Here is a 17,677-nt window from a genome sequence, read left to right as displayed (position 1 = left end):
CTCTCACTTGAAGAGATTAGTTTCAGAGATATTCTTTGACTTTTTGAAAGACACCAAGTAACAGAGCCTGAGTACTGACTGGGAAAGGATATGTTTCTGTGGGGGCAAACGACAGAGATGGGGAAAGTTTGCAACTTGGCAGTCTCCAAGAGGATAAACCCGAAGGTGGTTCACTGGGGAGAACACAAAAGGAAAGAGAGACATCAGATGGCCATTCAAAGATGCTATCCTTCTGGTACTTTAAATGCAATGAGAAGTTGTATCCACTAGTAACTATTTTCTCAAAGACTTAACTTTCAAATTTTGCCATGGCTGTGACCTAAATCCTTTGCAATCTATCCCTTTCTAATCATCTTTATTCCAATGACAAATTCCAAATTTATATTCCCAGCACAGACCTCTACTTTGTCTTTCAAATCTATATAAGTATACTTGGAAATGAGAACATATGTGTTCCCCAAAAGCTCCATACAGGAATGTGTATAGAAGTACTATGTGTAGGAGCAAAAAACTGGAACAACTTTATGCAGCAATGAGAACGGATGAACCACAATTACTCACAGGAAAATGAATGAAGTTCATAAACAAGATGCTGAGCAAAAGGTAAACCCCAAAGGGTACACATTGCATGGCTCTATCCAAATCAAGTTTAAAAGCAGGCAAGATTAATATTTGGCATTAGAAACCAGGGTATGGTTCCCTTCAGGTGGTAGTGCTTAGAATGGGGAAGACAACGCACCTCTGTGGCCCTGGTCATGTTTATTTCTTGAGTTGAGAGCTGGTTACATAGATGTGTTCAATGTGAGATAATTTATTATGCTATAAATTTTATGTGTACATATTCGTATGTATGTTTTAGATTTATTTAAAAAATTTTTTAAATAGATCTCACAAAATGACTGATAAACATATTTTCAGATAAAGTAGATAACTATGTTTTTGTATTCCTTAGGTAAGGATAATTTTGCATACTTGTTGAGTTTCTCTCCACCTTCTTTGGTCTTAGAAACCCAGGTCAGGAGACACTTTGTCCATCTTCTAAGTGCATTCTTTGTAATAGAGTCATCCATTGCCCCTACAACCTCTTCAAAGTCTGATACTTTGAGCAATATTAATAATACTTGTGCTGTTAATTTTATCCAAGTTGTTCAAGATAATCTCTAACTGCTAACTAATTATTCCTTTATGATTCCAGAGAAATTAAAAATTGATCTCAGTTTTCCTTTCCCTACTTAAGAGGTGGAGAAACTAAGATGAAAAATGTAAACTGATTTTCACAAGTATTCCCAGCAGAGACAGAAAGAAAGAGAAAGAGGGAGAGAGTGAGAGGAGGAGGAGGAAAAGAAAAAGAAAAAGAAAAAGAAAAAGAAGGAGGTGAAGGAATAAAAAAGAGGAGAAGGAGAAAAGTAAGGGGGAGAAAAAAAGGCAAGAGGAAAGAAATTAGAGATGAAGGGATAAGAACTGTTTGGGAGTGAGACAGGGAGGAGAAGGATGAGGAGGCTTTATACAGGTCTATAAAACAGGAAGCAGACATGTTGATTTGGAAATGCCCTGTAATTTGTGTTCCTCGGTTGGGATGCTGGTTTCTCTCTCTGCACACTAGCTAGTTTTTAGGATTGAGTCATGAGGATAAAATCAGAAGGAGAAGGCCATGACTTAGGGAAAGTCAAATAAAAATCAAATGCCAGGACAGACAAGTAAAATAAATGCTGTCCCACATCCCTCAAGACCAAACCTTGAGCTGGGGAGATGGCCATGGAAACATGAGGGTGGATCAGAAGAAGTCTGAAAGCATCAGAATTGGTGGATGCCTAGGGCTCCTGGAAGTACTAAGCTTTTGGCTGGACACTTCACTCAACATGGAGGTGATGGTAAGAGGAGGCTTGGATAAATGTCCCTGAGGCAGAGAATGCAAAAAATTAGAAGTTCTCCTTGCTGCCATGATAGTCCTAGAGGTGCAGAGGGTAGTAGAGGACCCAGGGATGCTTGGAATGAGAGCACAAGAGGCTGCAGTGCATGCAGACACCAGATGCAAATGAATGAGGCCACCGTCACCAGCATCAGAAGATGCCCAAGGACCCTGCTCAAGCCAGCTCACTAGTTAACCATCCAGCCACTCCCAAACAAGGAAGTGTAAGTATGTACTCCTCTGTTACCCGGTGCATATAGTCAAACACTCAGACCTCCCTACCAGTGTCGAATTGCAGAAAAGATAATGAATGAGGCAGATTTCCTACAGAGATCAAGTATAACGAGACCATGGAAACAAAGGGAGTTGAACTTTAATTGGACTGAAAGGAGTCCAATTAAACCAGAAGACATTGACCTATTTTTAATTGATAAGTGTAAGTTTCCTGAGACCGATTAAGGTGTGGTTTCTTAAGGAAAAAAGCAGCTTACTTTGTTGAAAATATAGAAGCTATATTTTCTTTCTACATAAAATACAGTATGAGCACATCTGTGACCCCACTACGGTAGACAAGAATACCCCAAGTAGTTCATGCCCAATTAAATATTCCAAATAAGAAACCCCTTCCAACCAACCTAAATGTATATCAGATCACCAACATTTTTTAACATTATTGGTTTTATGGAAGATATTTGATGAAAACTTCGGAAAATAATTTTCTTTGATTTCTTATAACAAAATAGATTAGTGACCTCTACATATTTTCCTCTGTCAGCCAAGATTTTCATCAAAATGTCAGCCATGGGAGATAAGAAGCACTCTGAAAGAAGACACCAAATGCAAAGACCTGTATCTAGAATGAAATACAGTTGTGTGGAACCACGAAGGGAAAAGATTATCTACCTGTGTAACACTGTGACTGTGAAATATATATCTTTATATATTAAAAATATTGTATACATTCTGCTAGGGGTAAAGCTGACTTGTCAGATAAAAGGCTTCAGTTTCTTCAACTGTAAAATGAATGATGAGCAACGGAAAACCACTAACCTCTTTCTAGTTCTAAATACTATGGCTTGAGGATGTGAGATGATTCGAGATGGGATGATCAGATAAAGACTGTTCATGTTATTGCATCTGCTCAAAATGGGTAGATGCAGAAGCTTTATAATACCTCTGGTGCCCAGCAGCACCTAGCAGAGTATCTGGGACATACCAGTTACTGGGTATTAGGTATTAGTAATGGGCATTAGCTTATGGAAACTCCTAAGGGTAGTAAATGTGACTTCTGTTGTACTCCTTATAACCAAATTCCATAACAAAAGACTACATATTCCTGGGAAGTGGAGGCTGCAGTGAGCCGAGATGGTGCCACTGCACTCCAGCCTGGGCAACAGAGCAAGACTCCGTCTCAAAAAACAAAAAAACCAAAAAAACTATGTATTTCTGTGAAGGAGAATTCGGCTCAAGAGACATTACATACTTGACTTGTATCAGACTTTACAACTATTGTATTTTTTAGGATATATTAGTAGACAGTAAATGGATGTGATTGTGTGCAAACACATCTGTGATATCCATTTTCTGGTTCAATTTTATTCATTAAACCAGAATCTCAGAATTAGGAGGGAAGTTAGACATTAACCAGTAAAATTTCTGAATATGAAAGATGAGAAAACTGAAGAGTTTGGGAACATTCCTAAAGATAAATAATTATTTCATGATGGAACCAGGTTATCTGCTCTGTATCCAGTGCCTGGCCTCTGTCTGCCTACTGCCTAATTCAGTCATCTCATGAGTGGGAGCTATTGTCTGGATATTGCCATCTGAATCAATATAGCTGGTATTACTACTAACCAGAAAACAGGATACTTAGGTCCTAGTTCTGTTACTAACTGGTCATGTGACCTTGGGCAATCATTTAACTTCATGATATTTCAGCATTTCAATTTTCTGTAAAATTATGGGTTTGTTTTAGCTAATCAGTAGTACACTGATATATCTTTGGGGTTAGAAATATAATTTTTTCTTTTTTTTTTTAAGAGACAGGGTCTTACTCTGTGGCCCAGGCTGGAGTACAGTGGCATGATCATACCTCATTACAATCTTGACCTCCTGGGCTCAAGCGATCCTCCCAACTCAGCCTCCCAAGTAGCTGGGACTATGAGTGCCTACCATGTCTGGCCAACTTTTTATTTTTTGTAGAGATGGGGTCTCATGATGTTGCCCAGGCTGATCATGAACTCCTGGCCTCAAGCAATTATCCCTCCTCAGCTTCTGAATGTGTTGGGATTACAGGTATGAGCCACCACACCCAGCCTTATAATTTTTGTCTTTAAAAACAGCAATCTCTTCCTTTTAAATTCAGAACAAGTCTGTGTCTGCAGGAATGAGGTGGAATTTATCTTAGATCAATGAAAACCTTCAAGATGGCAATTTCAGACAAATGAATCCTTTCCTTTTCTTACAAATTAATAAGTGCCCTGATCCAGATAACTGTCCAATTGTTTCAGTCTTTCCATTGCAACACTGGAGTCTAGGTGAAGCAATTACCTGGTAAGTCATAGTGAGTAGACTAACTCATTGTGCCAGGCACAACATAAGCACTCAACTATTTCTGATTGCTTAAACTCAAAATTCTGAATTAGTATATTACTAAATATGCCATTGCATTGACAGATCTTGCATTTTGGATGCTTTACTTGTAGGGAGAAAAACATAGTACAAAGAATTATATACTATTGATATATATTATTTATTATAATTGACTTAATATTATTTATTTTAAAATTAGTATAAACTCTGGATGACATTTATCTAGTACAATTCTAAAATCTTCCTAAACACAGGATAACATAGACTGCTCTCATTCTACTGTATTCTTCTGAGTTGTAGTTGACAATCCAATTCTCAAATACTACGCATTGGGTTTAAATGAAACACCACTGAAATCAAAGGTACAAACAGCCTATTCATGTCTCATTGCATTATTATTCTAATTAATATAAGTCACACAGGTGCAATGTGTGATGAGAGGCATTTATAAATTAATAAATAAACACATTTCAAAAGCACTGTGACTTATAAAAATAATGCCTCTATAAAAAAGACACTGTTGTCCAAAGACTGTTTGTTGGATTATTAGTTTATAAGCAAACAAACAGAAAAATGACAGAAATTTCAAACAGTAACCTCTCTGGAGGGAAACAAAGCAGTTCAATAGAAATAAACAGCTGTACATAAAAGACTGAGTTAAGGGTAATTTAAAAAAATCCTGAGAAAGTGATAAGCTCAGTGAATATCCTTTTGAAAGAGAGGCAGAGATACAGAAACCTCGGACTGAAATAGTATCTTGTGGCTTTACAAAGCTTTTTATCCAAGGACCCATCCACTTTACGAGAACAAATTTGTTAATTTACCACACATGCTTTTGACTCTGGTTAAGTGCTATGTTATGGCAACCTTTTATAGACAGAAGAGTTGGAATCAGAAGGATGACCCGCGCACAGGATCAGTAATCAGCAGTGCTCAGAAAAGGGCCATGAACCCTTCTCTCAAATTCCACTGCTTCAGTCCCTCTCCTACTTTCCCATCTTGCTGAATGAGCACCAATGGGTAACACAGTTGAAAGCAAAGTCACCATAATACTAAGTATTTAGCACCTTTCTTCCAGGGTGCTTGGCAGACATTACCTCATTAATCTTCATAACATCTTTAAGAAAGTGGGAAAGATTGTCTCCACCCTCATTTAATGAATGGGGTAGCAATTGCTTAAGGCCAGGACATGATTCAATGTCATGGCTAAAAACGGAGCCACGTTCCTGAAACCCTCACTCAGGTCAGTGCACTATCAGCCACTTTAGGAGTACAGGTAGCTCTTGGGTCAGCTGACAGTGAAGGAAGATAATTCCCAGCGTTAGCAGACATGGAAATAGACCAGATGAATAACACTACCCATTGTTACCCAATGCAGCGAAATACACAATTCATGTGTTAGCCAAACAAATGTTTATTGAGGGCCTGCTACAAACAGTTTGCTGTTGGGAGAAACAAAGAAAGGAAATGAACTAAGTAAAGAAAAAAGACCCATAAATCAAACATGAACACTCCACTGAAATAATTTAGATTCATTCATTCATTCATTCATTCATTCATCCTTTTGTTCAATGAATGAGAAACCTTCCAGACCCTTTCAAAGTGTGGAGGATACAAATAGAAATCAGACCTTACCTTTAAGAAGATTAGTCTGCAAGGCTAATCAGATATTTAAAACTTGGAGTCTACAGGAATAAATATTAAATCAAAGTTATGCCCAGCTGTCAGAGAAGCAAAAAAGAATAGCATTTAAGAAAGGTGGACATTTATCTATTTATTTATTTTTTGAGACATAGTCCCACTCTGTCACCCTGGGTGGAGTGCAATGGCGTGATCTGGGCTCACTGCAAGCTCCGCCTTCCGGGTTCAAATGATTCTCCTGCCTCCGCCTCCCGAGTAGCTAGGATTACAGGCTCCCTACCACCACGCCCAGCTAATTTTTGTATTTTTAGTAGAGACGGGGTTTCACTATGTTGGCCAGGCTGGTCTCAAACTCCTGACCTCGTGATCCGCCTGCCTCGGCCTCCCAAAGTGCTGGGATTACAGGAGTAAGCCACCGCGCCCGGCCCAAAAGGTGTACATTTAGTAGGATGATGACTACAGTAATATAAAGCAAGTGGGCTAGAAAGGGAAACTACTAACCATCTCTTTTTGTGTATTGGGCCTGGGTTTTCAAAGTATGTTTACCTGGGCTCATCAAGGATGGGGTGATGGGAGTCCTACAAAGAGAGTCAGAAGGGCAGGAGACAGAGGTTCACTTCTCTACTTCTGTTCCGATCTCTGTGCTTTATTTGGCTAAACCAGACCGGAGAATGACTTAACACTGGGTGACCATCTAGGATAATGGGAGATAGTAGACCAACCATTTTTCCCATTATCTTTACTGAAGGGGGCATGAGGCCCTTGATACAGAACGTAGTTTCCTTCCCAGGACTTCAGGACATCTTGTTGCTTTATGAAAACACCTTTGTGCTCTCCATGCCTGTTACCGTTTACATTGAGGGGGTGGATACAGCAAGTTTCTGCATGCCCGCGGATACGTCTATATTATATGGGATATAATCATGAAGTAGTGTGACTAAACACTCTATTTATATGTGAAGGTTTATATAATGTTTTATATATTTTTCAAACATGTTGCTCCACAGATTATCTCATTTTGATCTTTACAACACGTCTGTGAGTACACAAGACGTATAATATGATGTCTGCTGACAGCTAAAGAAAATGAAGCTCGGAGAGTTCAAAGCCATGCCTGAGTTAAAACAGAAAACAAGATGGAGAGTCCAACTCCACGCAGGGCTTCCTGACGCTGTCTCTGTCCAGACATTTCCTCAGACTCCCTAATGAGGCTGAGAGCTGAGATTCTGAAAAGACTGTCGATAGATAAAGATCGCTAGCTGTCCAAAAATAGTTGAGACCCATGAGAAAGACAGAGTAGCATCCCTTCCCCTCAGTTCCTGTTGTGTTCTAGCAAGTCCTCAGGTGTGTTGAGAACTGAAGAGAGTTAGGAAATCCTCAAAGGGAGCACACAGGTGGAGCTGGACCACACCCTGTCTACTTTCAAACTGTCCTTCCCTGTGCTGGTGGCACGAGGACTCTGCCTAAAAACCTCTAACCCAAGAATTTCCAGTGCCTGTGATTCGGCCCCACTAGAGTGGACAGGTGGAAATTCCACCAGAACCAGATTGATAATAACAATATAATAATAAACCAGAAAAAAGTAATCTTTCATCATGAGTGGTGATAGCTCTTAGAGAAAATTCCATGACGCTAATCACAATGTTTGTTTGAAGATGCACTCAAGCTAAAGTCAGCTTGGAGATGACCAGAGGGGAATATAGGTATGACTGCATTACATCTTTGTAAACTCAAGGAAGAGCAACTTTCCAAGGAAAATATGGAAATTTCTTTACTGTTGAAGTTCCTTCTGATAGTGCTTTTTTGGATTTGATTCCAATAAATAAATCTTTTTTCTTTTTTTTTTTTTTTTTTTTTTTGAGACGGGGTCTCACTCTGTCGCCAAGGCTGGAGTGCAGTGATGATCTTGGCTCACTGCAACCTCCGCTTCCCAGGTTCAAGCAATTCTTGCGCCTCAGCCACTCGAGTAGCTGAGACTACAGGCACACACCACTATACCTGGCTAATTTGTGTATTTTTTGGTAGAGACAGGGTTTCAACATGTTGACAAGGCTGGTCTCAAACTCCTGACCTAAAGTGATCCACCTGCCTCACCTCCCAAAGTGCTGGGATTACAGGCATGAGCCACGGTGCCCAGCCTCTAATAAATAAATCCTTTTAAGCATTTAAAGCTAATATTCCTCTGTGCCAACTTAACATAAAAATTGATAATTTTAGGAACCAGCTAGGAGTAATGAATTGACTTCCCAGTGGACATATTTTTCCCAAAGTCCCTACAGGTGGTCAGTAGGATTCTAGAGTTTTATATGCTGGTCTTCAGCCCTTCATCTCACCCTTAATCCAATTCCTCCTTTACTACCACCATGAGCTCATCCATGTTGTATGCCTGATTTTCAAAAATACTTTCACAAGAATTTCCCTGCTGCCTTCCCGTAACTTTGTGAGACAGGCATTCCTCTAAAATGGCACTCAGAGGTTGTGTTGTAATTTCTCTGTTTTTAGATCTATCTCACCCTGTGTGCATGGCAAGCTCTATCTCATTCATCTTCATACCTGACACTGTGTGTGATACAAGATATTTTTGAAGGAAAGAGTGGAAAGAAATAAGGAAAGGAAGGAAGTGATAATAGGTATGTTATCCCTGGTTTACAAACAAACATAGAAAACTTAAGTGGCCTGATCTTAGTGGTCACACAACTGGATAGCAGCAATCCAATCCCAATCTCTCAGACTCACAGTTTCATGATATTAATCCCAAATTCTGCTGCCAAGAAGAGATGGGAGAATTCTAGCTCCCTCCCAAAAATGGGCATAGAGAATGGGAAGTTTGTCAGATTGCCCATTTCTTCTCTATGGATTTCCCCAGGCAGAAGGAATGGGTCTTCCCACTTTGTGTCCGGTGCACCTCTTTCCTCTCAGGTAGGTCATTTGTTTTGCATGTGCATCCCTCAGAAGGATCTGGATTGCCCTGATGTCAGGATTGAGCATTCAATTGGTACTTAGTAAATGGATGAATAAGGAGACAGAAGAAAGAAAGCAGAGATGAAAAAAAAAGTTTCATTTATTTATCAAGCAAGCATAGGTAAGATGACATCCATGCCACTATCTTATGTAATAACACTTCCAAGAAGCTCAGGGGGATAAAAATTCACACAATGTTTGTTAGAGTGAATCATACATCTAAGCTACGGCTGTATTTTATTTCAGTATTAAATACATTTTAGAAGATAACGAAAGCAGAGCTATGAGGAGCAAACCCTCAAAAGTACACAAATGAGAGTTATCAATGGGGATGGCTTTTTGCAAATGGAACAGATAACAGAGTTGAAGCCTTGAAATCAAATTTCCTTCCCACACACACATTCCATTCCATTAATACTCAGATCATGGAAGAATGGGTTAATATTCATAGGGTTCCTGACAAGAGACACAATATAAGGCTCTGTAGGCATGCATGCATGGGCTTTGACCAGTTCCTTGGTGCTCAGGCCCTTGGATTTCAAGGCCCAATGAGTTCTGTTAGAAGGAAAAATGGGTTTCTGATATAAGGTAACAAATAGTTTATTTTTCTCAAAAGAAATATCATTTACATTATGTCATTGTGGCAAAAACCCTTAAAATGCAGAAAACATGGGACCTTATTTCAGAGAGAACAAATATTTTGAAGTTACATAAATTTAGCTTTATGAAAAATCATTTCTCTGGCCTCAGTTTCCCATTTTGCTGCTGACTGGTGTGAACTTCATCAGGGACCTCCACGAGTCCATAGATGGGTGCTTAATTTACAAACTGGTATTAGGGAGCTAATGCCCTAGATCATCACTTCCAGGATATTAAAAAGAGCGGGGCAGTAAGCTTAGGGCAAATAGAAGCAACAATAAGTAGTGGAGAGTAAGCTAATGAGCACTACAAAGACAATGGACCCATGGAATTAATTTTCTTTAGAGTATTAGAGATCAATGAGATATACACATATGATCTACATATATATGTACATATATTTTTAGATCTATTTCATTGTGTGCTCCATCTCATTCATCTTCATACCTGAAACCATGTGTAATACAAGATATTTTTGAAGGCAATCAGTGGGAAGAAATGAAAGGAAGGAAGCGATAATAGGTATGTGTATATATATGTAGATTGTATCTACATATATCTATGTGTGTATATATATGTACATCATATATGTATGTGTGTCTATGTGTGTATATATATATATCATACATACTGGCTCACTGCAGGCTTGACTTCTAGGGAGTCAAGCAATCCTCCCAGCTCAGCCTTCCAAGTAGTTGGGACCACTAATTTTTCTGTAGTTTTTATAGAGATGTGGTCTCACTTTGTTGCTCAGGTGGGTCTCAAATTCCTGGGCTCATGTGATTCTCCCACCTTAGACTCACAAAGTGCTGGGATGAGAGGCGTGAGCCACTGCATCTGGCTTCAATGATTTAACAGACATGTGAAAGATAGAGCTGTAAAAGGTAGAGCAGCAGCCATGGGCTCTCTATGAAACTCCATCAGTTACACAGAGACTTGAAACTCACCACCAGGTTCAACCAGAGCAACATTCTCAAACTTCACACTCACTTTATGCACAGGAGCATTAAGTCTGTGGCAGAGAGATCCTCAGTTATCCTAGGAAAGAATGTTATTGATGTTTTAATTTGTAAATTTGCATTTCCAGATGGGAACTATAGTCATGAAAAATGCAGTGATGATTAAATTCAATATCTCCCTTGCTTTCTGTTTCTTCCTTAAACATGCCAAGTGTGATCGCTCTTAGAGCCTTTTTATTGTAGCTCCCTCTTCCTGGAGCTGTTCAACCCTGTAATTCAGGATCTGACTTTTTCTTGACTTTCCGGTCTCAGCCTAAACGTTGCCTCCACAGAGAGGCCTCCTGGGACTACACTATCTGAGATAGGTACCTGTGCACTGAGTGTCACATCACTGTATTTCGTTTCTCTGCATAGCACTGATCACTCACTGTTACCTTTTATTGCTTGTTTATTTTCTTATTGTCAGTCTCTGCCAAATAGAATGTAAGCTCCCTGAGAGCAAGGACCTTGTCTATATCATCACCACCCTATCAAACCCTGGTACCTAGAGGGTATGTTTCATAGCAGATGCTCAATAAATATTTGTTGAACAAAATGATCAACTAGTCCAGCATAACCCTCTTTTTTTTTTTTTTTTTTTTTTTTTTTTTTTGAAACGGCGTCTCGCTCTGTCGCCCAGGGGGGAGTGCAGTGGCGCAATCTCGGCTCACTGCAAGCTCCACCTCCCGGGTTCACGCCATTCTCCTGCCTCAGCCTCCTGAGTAGCTGAGACTAAGGCGCCCGCCACCGCGTCTGGCTAATTTTTTGTATTTTTAGTAGAGACGGGGTTTCACCGGGGTCTCAATCTCCTGACCTCGTGATCGCCCGCCTCGGCCTCTCAAAGTGCTGGGATTACAGGCTTGAGCCACCGCGCCCGGCCCATAACCCTCTTTTTATAGATAAGGAAGAGGGGTTCAAACAGGCAAAACTCTCTTAATACATAGTTACTTTGTGGCAATGTGGGGGGTAAAATAGATGACTCATAGGATTAATTTCTAGACCCATGTTTTTTTCCATGATTTTGTGTTCGTATTACCCTGATTTTGCCTGTATGTTCAGGAAATAAACAAACAAAAAATGAAAGTGTAAAGAGGGTATGGATGGATTTGCAATTTGTCATTTGACCAGGGCCTTAAGCCACTGAGGTTATTCTGCCTTTCAAGTTCTGACCAAAGTTAAAGAATAGATATAGTCAGGTACATGGTATACATTTAGGGACCATGATCAAATACCCTCACTTTAAATATTTCATGAATGTCTGTAACTTATTCCATGAACAAGCTATTCCTTAGGATTGAGACATTGACTTCTGAGATTTTCCTTGTCAAGAACAAAATCCTTCTGGACACTGTTAAGTGATTAAGCCAACACCATTCCTAACTCCCTTCTCTCTTGCACTCTTTAGAGTCTGATAAAACTAAATACAGCACTTAAGCTCCCAGCACCCTCTACATCCAGGGCATCATACAACAAAGATCTGGCCAATGAAACGTAAATGAAGTCTACAGGGAAACTTCAAGGAAACTTTTGCTTTCCTAGTAAAGAGTTGGACATGGCAGATTTTTTCTTTTCTTCCTTTCTGCCTTGAATATGTACTTGCTTTTGGAATTTGGGCAGCCATCTTTTAACGATGAGGGAAATATCACAGAGATCTCAGAGATGCTGGCCAGACATTGAGCCACTGAAATGCTGCCAGCTGCTCCCACCTCCAGAGTTTTAGTATGTGAGAAAAATACATTTTTATTTGCATAAGCCAAGTGAGTTGGGTTCTTCTTTACCTGCAGCTAAGAGAATTCCTTTTGACACAAAATTTTAAAAGACCTGAATTTTTGGCTGGGTGTGGTGGCTCAGGCCTCTAATCCCAAAACTTTGGGAAGTTAAGGTGGGTGGATCACCTTGAGGTCATGAGTTCAAGACCAGCCTGGCCAACATGGTGAAAGCCTATCTCTACTAAAAAATACAAACAGCCAAGTGTGGGGCATGCATGCACTGTAGTCCCAGTTACTTGGGAGGCTAAGGCATGAGAATTGCTTGAACCCAGGAGGCAGAGGTTGCTGTGAGCTGAGATTGCGCCACTACACTCCAGCCTGGCTGGCAGAGAGAGACTCTGTCAAAAAAAAAAAAAAAAAAAAAAAATCCTGAATTTTTTTCTGTAGGAAAAAAGCCAGAGGAAAAATACCCTGGCCTCACCTTCCTCTCTGCCCACCTTCAATCTCTTCCCAGTTCTATAGAAGACAGAGGGCGAGAGAGCCCACTGACCTATAGTCTGTCCCCAGGGACCCAGAGCAGGGTAAAGAAAGACAGAAGTGGATCTATAGAGGCACACAAGAGAGTCAAGCCAACCAGCAATTTTCAGACTTCTTTTCTTAGAATCAAAGGACTTTTATCCAGTGAAATCAAATGCCCAATGCCAATATTCAGATGAAAACAGAGCTTCTCCACTTGAACACTGGAGGAAGAGCCAGTACCTCATTCTCTTCACCTCCCTCTTATCCCTGTGGCAGCCATTAACCACCACCCCCCACCACCACATTTCTCAGAGATGAAAAAGTAGATTACAACTGATACCACAGAAATTTAAAGGATCATTAGAAACTACTGTGACTATGTCAATAAATTGGAAAATATAGAATAAATGGATAAATTCCTAGACACATACAACCTACCAAGATTGAAACATGAAGAAACCCAAAATCTGAATAGACCATTAACAAGAAATGAGATTGAAGCTATAATAAAAAGCCTCCCAGAGAAGAAAAGCCCAGGACTTGATGGCTTCTGATATGGTTTGGCTGTGTCCCCACCCCAATCTCATCTGGAATTTCCATGTGTTGTGGGAGGGACCCAGTGGGACGTAATTGAATCATGGGGGCAGGTCTTTCCCATGCTGTTCTCATGATAGCGAATAAGTCTCACAAGATCTGCTGGTTTTAAACAGGGGAGTTTCCCTGCACAAGCTCTCTTCTCTTGCCTGCCACCATGTGAGACATGCCTTTCACCTTCTGCCATGATTGTAAGGCCTCCCCAGCCATGTGGAACTGTAAGTCCAATAAACATCTTTCTTTTGTAAATTGCCCAGTCCTGGGTATGTCTTTATCAACAGCATGAAAACGGACAATACAGCTTCATTGCTGAATTTTACCAAACACTTAAAGAAGAACTAATACCAATCCCACTCAAACAATTCTGAAAAATAGAGGAAGAGGGAATACTTCCAAACTCATCCTATGAAGCCTACCCTGATACCAAAAGTAGACAAAGACATATCAAAAAAGAAAACTGTAGGCCAATATCTCTGAGGAATATTGATGGAAAAATCCTTGACAAAGTATTAGCAAACCAAATTCAACAACACATTAAAAACAGCATTCATCATGACCAAGTGGGATTCATCCCTGGGATGCCAGGATGATTCAACATACACAAACCAATCAACGTGATGTAACATATCAACAGAATGAAGGAAAAAAACATATAATTGTTTCAATTAATAATGAAAAAGCATTTGATAGATTTCAACATCCCTCATGATAAAATTAAAACCCTCAAAAAACTGGGTATAGAAGGAACATACCTCAACACAATAAAAGCCATATATGACAACCACAGTTAGCATCATACTGAATGGGAAAAAACTGAAAGCCCTTCCTTTAAGACTGGGAACACAACAAGGATGTCCCCTTTCATCACTGCTATTCAACGTAGTACTGGAGGTACTAGCAGAAGCAAAAAGACAAGAGAAAGAAATAAAGGACATCCAAATTGGAAAGGAAGAAGTCAAATTATTCTTGTTTGCAGATGATAGGATCTTATATTTGGAAAAACCTAAAGACTCCATCAAAAAATTATTTGAACTGATAAACAAATTCAGTAAAGTTGCAGGATACAAAATCAACATAAAAAAACAGTAGTATTTCTATATGCCAGCAATGAACAATCTGAAAAAGAAATGAATAAAGAAATTCCAATTACAACAGCTGCTAATAAAACAAGACACCTAGGAATAAACTTAACCAAAGAAGTGAAAGATCTCTACAATGAAAACTATAAAACACATGCAATACATTGAACAGGACACCAAAAAATGGAAAGATATTCCATGTCCATGAATTGGAATAATCAATATTGTTAAAAAGTCCATACTACCAAAGCAACCCACAGATTTAATGCAATCCTTGTCAAAATACCAATGATATTCTTCACAGAAATAGAAAAAAGAGTACTAAAATTTATATGGAACCACAAAAGACCCAGAATAGCCAAAGCCATCCTGAGCAAAAGAACAAAACTGGAGGAATCATATTACCTGACTTCAAATTATACTACAGAGCTAGAGTAACCAAAACAGCATGGTACTGGCATAAAAACAGACACATAGACCAACAAAATAGAATAGAGAATCCAGAAATAAATCCATATATCTACAGTGAACTCATTTTCAACAAAGGTGCCAAGGAACATACATTGGGGAAAAGACAGCTTTTTCAGTAAATGGTGCTAGAAAAACTGGATATCCACGTGCAGAAGAATGAAACTAGACCCCTATCTCTCACTATATACAAAAATCAAATCAAAATGGATTAAAAACTTAAATCTAAGACTTCAGACTATGAAACTACTTAAAAAAACATTGGGGAACCTCTCCAGGACATTGGATTGGGCAAAGATTTCTTGAGTATCTTTGCACAGGTAACCAAAGCTAAAATGGACAAATAGTATCACATCAAGTTAAAAAGCTTCTGAACAGCAAATAAAACAATCAACAAACTGAAGAGAAAACCCACAGAATGGAAGAAAACATCTGCAACTATCCATTTGACAAGGGATTAATAACCAGAATATATAAGGAATTCAAATAAATAGGAAAAAATTAAAAATGGGCAAAAGACCTGAATAGACCTTTTGCAAAAGAAGACATACAAATGGAAAACAAGTATATGAAAAGATCACCGTCATTCATAATCAGAGAAATGCAAATCAAAATTACAATGAGATATAATCTCACCCCAGCTAAATAGCATTTATCCAAATGATAGGCAATAATGATTGCTGGCAAGGATGTAGAGAAAAGGGAACCCTCACACACTCTTGGTGGGAATGTAAATTAGTACAGCCACTATGGAGAACAGCATGGAAGTTTCTCAGAAAACAGAAAATAGAACTACCATATGATCCAGCAATCCCACTGCTAGGTATATACCCAAAAGAAAAGAAATCAATATATCGAAAAGATACCTGCACTCCTGTTTACTTCAGCATTATTCACAAGAGCCAAGATTTGGAAGCAACCTGAGTGTACATCAACAGACAATGGATAATGAAAATGTGGTACATACACACCGTGGAATACTATTCAGCTATAAAAAAAAGAATGAGATCTTGTCATTTGCAACAACATTAATGGAACTGGAAGACATTAAGTGAAATAAGCCAGGCACAGTAAGACAAACTTCACATGTTCCCACTCACTTGTGGGAGCTAAAAATTAAAACAATTGATCTCATGGAGATAGAGAGTAGAATGATGTTTACTAGAGGCTGGGAAGGGTTAATGGGGGGAGGGGAAATGGGGTGGTTAATGGGTACAAAGATGTAGTTAGAATGAATAAGATCTAGTATTTGATGGCACAACAGAGTGATTACAGTTAAAAATTTATTACACATTTTTAAATAACTAAAAGAGTAGTAGCGGAATGTTTGTAACACAAAAAAGGATAAATGTTTGAGGTGATGGATACCCCATTTTTCCTGATGCGCTTATTAGACATTGCATGCCTGTATCAAAATATCTCATGTATACCATAAATATATACACCTATCATGTACCCATAAAAATTAGAAATAAAAAATTTTTCAAAAAGAAAAATTATTTTTAGGATTGTCAGATACAATACAGGATTTTAGGATTGTCAGATACAATACAAAGCACCCTCTGGTTAAATTAGAATCAGATATACAAGGAATAATATTGCACTGGACATACTTAAACTAAAATTTTATTTGTTGTGTATCTGATATGAAAATTTACCCAGGCATCCAGTTATTTATACGTACGAAATCTGATAAACCTACTAATTTATAACATCATTTAGCACAGATGTGAAGGAGCAGGACACAGGAGAGTTAAGTTTTTATAAGGGAGAGAGATATATATAAATACATAGATATTAAGCCTAGAGGTGCTAAAAGTGGAAGAGAAATCCAGAGAGGTAACCTTATAAGGCTTGAAAATAGAATTTATCTAGTTCACAATTTCGTTCATGTCTGGCAGTGAAAAGACGACCGTGCTTTTTCCACCTAAACTACGTCGTTCTTATATTCCCAAATGTCCTGTGTGCAGTGCATGTGCTCTTTTAAAGGTTAAGGTTAGTAAGCCACCCCTAGGGAGGAGGAAGAGGGACATGAAGCATTGCTATCGATGATGTCCTCAAATCCTGGCTTCTCGACTCCCAATCTGGGACATTTGGCTGTTTTCACGGCAGAAAATGTTCCTCATCCAATTAAATAACATGAAGCCGAAGCCAGGTGGAATGCTTCCAGTTAAATACTTGCTCCTCTTATCTTCTCATTCACACCCTTCCCCTCATTATCACAACTGAGCACATCAAGCACACGCTATGTTTCTAATAAAGATGTTCCCACTGTATTCCTAATGAAAATAGTGCACAGATAATAGCCCCTTTCCTTTATGAAAGATAGGAGTGACACTGAAGCCTCAGAGGTTCCTGGAAAAGCTGGCACACTGGTGAGTTCCCCTCATGAATCCCTCGGTTATAGTGAGGAGAGAGGAATGGGGTGTTTACAAATTCCTTTATTAGAAACTCAGTTCTGTAGACATCATCTGATTCCAATTTATCTAATTTCTAACAGAGTCATAGAGAACTTATCTTCATTCAGAGCCTTAGTAGAAGTTAAATACACACACAATCAGAACA

The 17,677-nt window shown here is 39.0% G+C and overlaps 1 long non-coding RNA gene across 1 annotated transcript in view; it reads right to left on the bottom strand.

Moving 5' to 3' along the window:
• The window catches only part of LOC105372130 (uncharacterized), a 177,123-nt gene that overhangs the window by 152,105 nt on the left and 7,341 nt on the right, over nt 1–17,677 (bottom strand). Inside the window, exon 2 of the long non-coding RNA XR_007066382.1 lies at nt 10,736–10,783. This is a non-coding gene — a long non-coding RNA (uncharacterized LOC105372130). The remainder of the gene's footprint in view (nt 1–10,735; nt 10,784–17,677) is intronic.

The sequence above is a fragment of the Homo sapiens genome, chromosome 18 (assembly GCF_000001405.40).
Source record: "Homo sapiens chromosome 18, GRCh38.p14 Primary Assembly".
Classification (NCBI taxonomy): domain Eukaryota; kingdom Metazoa; phylum Chordata; class Mammalia; order Primates; family Hominidae; genus Homo; species Homo sapiens.
Note: the sequence above shows the minus strand (reverse complement) of the source record. Positions and strands in the feature narration are given on the sequence as shown.